Source organism: Homo sapiens, chromosome 10 (genome assembly GCF_000001405.40).
Source record: "Homo sapiens chromosome 10, GRCh38.p14 Primary Assembly".
Lineage (NCBI taxonomy): Eukaryota > Metazoa > Chordata > Mammalia > Primates > Hominidae > Homo > Homo sapiens.
The window spans coordinates 29,946,924-29,952,352 of record NC_000010.11 but is presented as its reverse complement, the minus strand read 5'-3'; the positions used below and the strand labels follow the sequence as shown (position 1 = coordinate 29,952,352).

General features: G+C 45.5%; 1 long non-coding RNA gene across 1 annotated transcript; it reads right to left on the bottom strand.

Annotated features, from left to right (window-relative positions):
• Window positions 1-658: 658 nt before the first annotated feature.
• On the bottom strand, window positions 659-5,207 carry LOC124902403 (uncharacterized). Its single transcript, XR_007062101.1, has 2 exons — window positions 4,642-5,207; window positions 659-875 (listed from the first exon to the last, which is right to left on the bottom strand). It is a non-coding gene; the product is annotated as an uncharacterized LOC124902403 (long non-coding RNA).
• Between the last annotated feature and the right edge of the window lie 222 nt (window positions 5,208-5,429).

The window sequence follows — 5,429 nt, the reverse complement described above, 5'->3', positions numbered from 1 at the left end:
TGTCCTGAAAGGGATTGTGACAAATTTTCTATTTGTTACCTGTTTTTGGTTTGTTTTTGCTTTTTTTTTTTTTTTTTTTTTGACAGGTCTCGCTGTGTCACCCTGGCTGAAGTGCAGTGGCTATTCACAGGCATCATCGTGAATACTACAGCCTTAAACTCCTGGCCTCAAGTGATCCTCCTGCCTCAGCCTGCTGAGTAGCTGGGACTGCAGGCACACACTACTGAGCCTAGATTTGCTACCTGGTTTTTACTGGAAATAGGCAAGCTGGTGACACAAGCTATATGGATTGTAATATTAGACCGGGGGTGGGGCTTCTATCAAACTGGAGGAGAGACAAGGAGGCCGGAGTGACGGAGCCCACCTCTCTGCAGGCTGAGGCTGCCTGCTGGCCCTCCAATGGTTATGGCTGTATTTGTTCTGAGAGAGCTGCAACAGCTGGCGAGTTCCTGGACTTGTCCGCACCTGTGCGGGCATGGGACAACGCTTTGGTCTAGACTGCCTTTGCATCTGCCCCTGGGCTTTTAGGCTGCAGGCCTGTGGAGTCACCACTGGCTGAACATCCTCTAAACAAAGGGCTATGGCAGGCCGATCTTGGCCCTTCCACCTCAAATGTGTTGAAACTGCAGGGCTCGAAGAATCCCACACACCACTGATCTTTTAGCATTTCAACATTCTCATCCTTTTATTTGTTTATTTAAATGTTTTTAACTTTTCGATAGACTTTCCTGGAGCAGCTTTAGGTTCACAACAACATAATTCCCATCCTTTTCCGACACCGCCTGGCTGGCAGCCAAGCTCCTTCGTACTCATCACCTTCCGATATATTCATCTGCTAGCAGGGATCAGTGAGGGATGGCTTTAAGCCCACATGTCTAAGAGAAAGGAGGAAAAGAAGAGGAAATTAAACCCTATGACAAGCAGGACAAATGCTGAAGAAATTGCAAGTGGATAAAGCCTAAAAGAATAGAGCTCCCTGCTCTAGAAAACAAACAAAATCCACGGAACCTTAGGTTACTTATCCCTGTGATGGGAGTCATGATCCTACTTAACCCTCAGGGATGGAAACTATAACAATTGCATAGCCTGGCGATGAATTAGAAAGCATTTGGGGAGGTGCTAAGATTTTAGATATAGTATTAAGAAGTAGTGATTTTTTTTATTTTTAATGTTTGTGAGTACACAGTAGGTGTATATATTTATGGGACACCTGAGATGTTTGGATACAGGCATGCAATGTGAAATAAGCACATCATGGAGAATTGGGTACCCATCCCCTCAAGCATTTATCCTTTGAGTTGCAAATGAAATATTACCATTAAAATCAACCATACACCTAGCTTTAAAAAAATCCTGAGCTATCAAGACTCTGTCTAACCTTAGAAGTAGGTAACACACATGTACCCCAGAAACATGTCAAATATTACATATCAATAAAAGAAAAAAAGGGGGAAACAAAAAGTGAGGAACAGCTCCTTTCAGTTTCACAGATTATTCTCCCACTGCCAGCTATTCCAACGCCATCATTATAGCTCTGTATCTGCAAGAATAATACTGTGTTTCATTCCTCTCTCCCCTACTCAGCCTCCCAAAAAAGTGTGTGTGTGTGTATGCGTGCAAAAGTACCGCCTCCTACCCAGATAAATCTAATTATTGATTCTGTCCAGACATGTCCTGACATCTATAAAGGCCTGTGGGAAGAGGTGAACATTCCTGGCCACCACCCCTCCCCTGAAGTTCTGCATAGGCTGTGGAACCCCCTTCCCTGTCCTTTCTCTCATGGGGCTAGGATGACAGCTCAGGCACTACAGAGCTTCCCTGAAGAAGGCTCGCAGAGCCGTGTGGGCCTCTGTTGGGAAAGAACACATCCCATCATTTGGATAGAGTCATTTTTCATCCAGCCGGGTGCTGCTGTGGGTTATGGGAGTGTGCACCAACTGTATTGTAGACAAGACCCACATTGCCAGGAGAATCCAACATCAAACCCTAAACAGGGATCTTGGTTTGGCTTAAATGCTCCTCACAATGGCTTGGTGGGGTTTCAAGGTGCCGTTACAGGGATTTCTCAAGAAATCAAAACCAGCCGGGCATGGTGGCTCATGCATGTAATCCCAGCACTTTGGGGAGGCCGAGGCAGGCAGATTGCTTGAGGTCAGGAGTTCAAGACCAGCCTGGCCAACATGGTGAAACCCCATCTCTATTAAAAATACAAAAATTAGCCCGGTGTGATGGCGGGTGCCTGTAGTCCTAACTACTTGGGAGGCTCAGGCAGGAGAATCACTTGAACCTGGGAGGTGGAGGTTGCAGTGAGCCGAGAGTGCCCCACTGCACTGCAGCCTGGGTGACAGAGCAAGACTCCGTCTCAAAAAAAAAGAGGAAACCACACATCATGTTGAATGTATCATATCTGGCACAAGTGTTCTAAACTGGACATAAACCTCATGCCTTGGCCAAGTTTTTCTGAACGAACCACAATGATTCATGAAAAAAAATTGTATACTTTTGAGTGGGGCAAAGACTTCATGCTACAGTTTGTAATAAAGGTCAAAGGTCAGGAATTGATTTTGGTGAAATCAGTTGAGATTCTTTTGCTATCCTGAAACTTGGAGATGGTAAAGGTTTCAGATTTCAAAATGAAAACTTTGCCAAGCAACAGGGTTTATTATGTATCATTTAGAAACTAGTCTTCATACCCTGAAGCTCCTTCGGCACGGCTATTGCTTGAAAATACTCTAGAAAACCACAGGGAACATTTTCCCAATGAATCATAATCTGTCTGGGAAGTTAGAGAAATCAATCAAATAAGCTTCAATTTTTTTTTTCCTGGACCATCTGGACAATTCAGATAACAATATATTGTGGTCACAGCTCACATTTTTTCAGACCTAAAGTTGAATTTGTTATTTGAATTTGTTATGAGACAGGAAGCGAAATGTCTGCAAAGATAAATGAAAAGAGGGAATGATTTTAGCAAACAGGCCTTGGATACATTTTCTAAGTGATTTTTCCAAGACTCACTGGTCCCAGGATTTGGTCCCATGGCCAGATCCTCCTAAATGAAAAATGTTCAAATTACTGTGCCGAATAGTGCCTGGATTCTTTCTACGAGTGCCAGAGAAAAAAGTGAATTAGCCCAGGAGTACCTCTCAGACTGAAAATCAAAACAGCCAAGGGCAAAGAACTGGAAGTAGACACTGAAGTTCAGGCTCCCTCTCGAAGCCGTATTGTGGCCTGTGAAATACACATCGCTCACACCTCATCAAAGCCAGTGAAACAGTAGCTGTCATGCAAGCTAAATCTTGTTTTCACAGAGCCTGCCTGTGGCTGGTTTCATTTGGCTCAGCCCAAGCTACCTGAACACCTGGTTCTATGCTTAGATTTTCCTATGTGTGGAAAGCAATTATCTTTCGACTGGAGAGAAAACTGTACAGAAAACCCAACCGCGATCATTTGGGGGAGCAGCCAGGCGCACGCTCGCCATTACACTGTGATGGAACAAATTGTTAAGCAGGTACAGAATTTGATCGTAATTTCAGCAAAGGCCTATACATGTTTCTAACGTTTTTAAAAATACCTCTGTTCATAACAGCAGACACTAAGGATTAGTGATTTTTCCCCAAGTGCATGATCAGGTCTATTTTGTTACAATGGTGCCTCCTGGCCAAGGCCAGACACACTCAAAGAAGGGTCTTGGGCAGATAGGAAAGATTTCCCTGCAGGAGGTTTGAGAGGGGCCTAACAATTTGTAGGTCTTTGAAATATAATTTGAAATGGTTACAAAGCTACGGCCAATGATGTAAGAGAAGGTGTGTTTTATAGTAAGTATTAAAAGAAGACAAATAGATGCTAAGGAGAGATGGATTGGCTAAGAGAAAGATTAACACACAAATTGCACCTACTCATTCCTATATAATTCGTTAGGGAGAGGTACAAATTAGGCTCTGAAATTTCCAGCAGCCGGCTCATGTGTATAATCCCAGCACTTTGGAAGGCCAAGGAGGAATGCCTGAGGCCAGGAGTTCAAGATCAGCCTGGGCGACATAGAGAGACTCTGTCTCTACAAAAATTTTTTTAAAAATTAGCCAGATGTGGTGGTGCATACCTGTAGTCCCAGCGACTATGGAGGCTGAGGCAGGAGGATCACTTGAGCTCAGGAGTTCAAAACCTGATGGGCAACATAGCAAGGCCCATCTCTACCAAAATAATTTTTTTTTTAATTAGCCAGGCGTGGTGGCACACATCTGTAGTCTCAGCTATGCCATAGGCTAAGATAGGAAGATGGCTTGAACCCAGGAGTTTGAGGCTGCAGTGAGCTATGATCGCACCACTACACTCCAGCCTGGCAAGGCCCCAGTCTCAAAAATAAAATAAAATAAATTTTAAAATGAATTTTCTAGGAGCCAGCCAAAGAGGAAAGTGCCATCAGTTGCATTGAGCCACCCTGTCCACAAGGTGAATCAGCAGCTCAGGATAAGTACAACTATTTGGGCAGGTCAGCAGGCACACCACTGCCGGGGATTAGAGAGTCAGGGGACAGGGTGTCCTCTTCTGTCTAGGACTGAGGAATTTCCTTTGATATGATTCTTTTAGTGCTAAAGGCAGTAAAGTCTTGGGACAACCAGGATGAGTTGGTCACCCTACCTGGGAATGTTTGCCAGTCAGCCCATCCTGGCCTGGACCCCCCACCTCCACCCAGCAGGCAGACTGCTGTCTGAGGTCTCACGCATATCCCAAGACTTGCAGCTGCAGGTGGGTGACAGGTTCCACAGGCGCTGACCCTGGGGTTCTGGCAAGCTGTTGGCTCAGTGTTTGTGGAACATAGTCGAAGCCACGGGGTGTAGAGAACTGAAAGGACATTCCCAGGGAAGGGGGAAACTTTCCCATGCAAATCCCAGCAGAAGCTGTGGCTTTGATTTTCCTCAGTCTGCAGCTGCATGGAGAGGAATCCGGGAGGGAAAACTGCCCATGCAGAGCCTTATGAAACACCAGCTCAAGTCACTAGCCTCCAACAGGCTCGGTGAATCATGCTGACTGCCTCCTGGACTCATATGAGGCTGCTCCCCTCAGCAGGGCAGCCTGCACTACAAACTAGCCCTGCTCCTATCCCTGGCTAGCTTGCCTTGCTCACCCTACCTTGGACCTTCCTGGTTCATTCACGAGAAAAATCCTGAGACTGGCAAGAGCCTGGAATTGTGAAAGCTCAGACTAAATAAGAAGGCTTTCGTGGTGGCCTTTTACCTAGCGTGGCAGTCAAAGACTGCTCTGCCCCCAACACAAGACACTCCCCTGCTTTCATAACTGGCACTGTAACATAGTTATCCTGTGCTGGAACATTCTGTCCTGTGCCAGCACAGACCTGAATCTCAGCAGAGTGCATAAACAGGGGGACTTTTGCTACACTATTCCAGGAATATGACATAATCCTACCC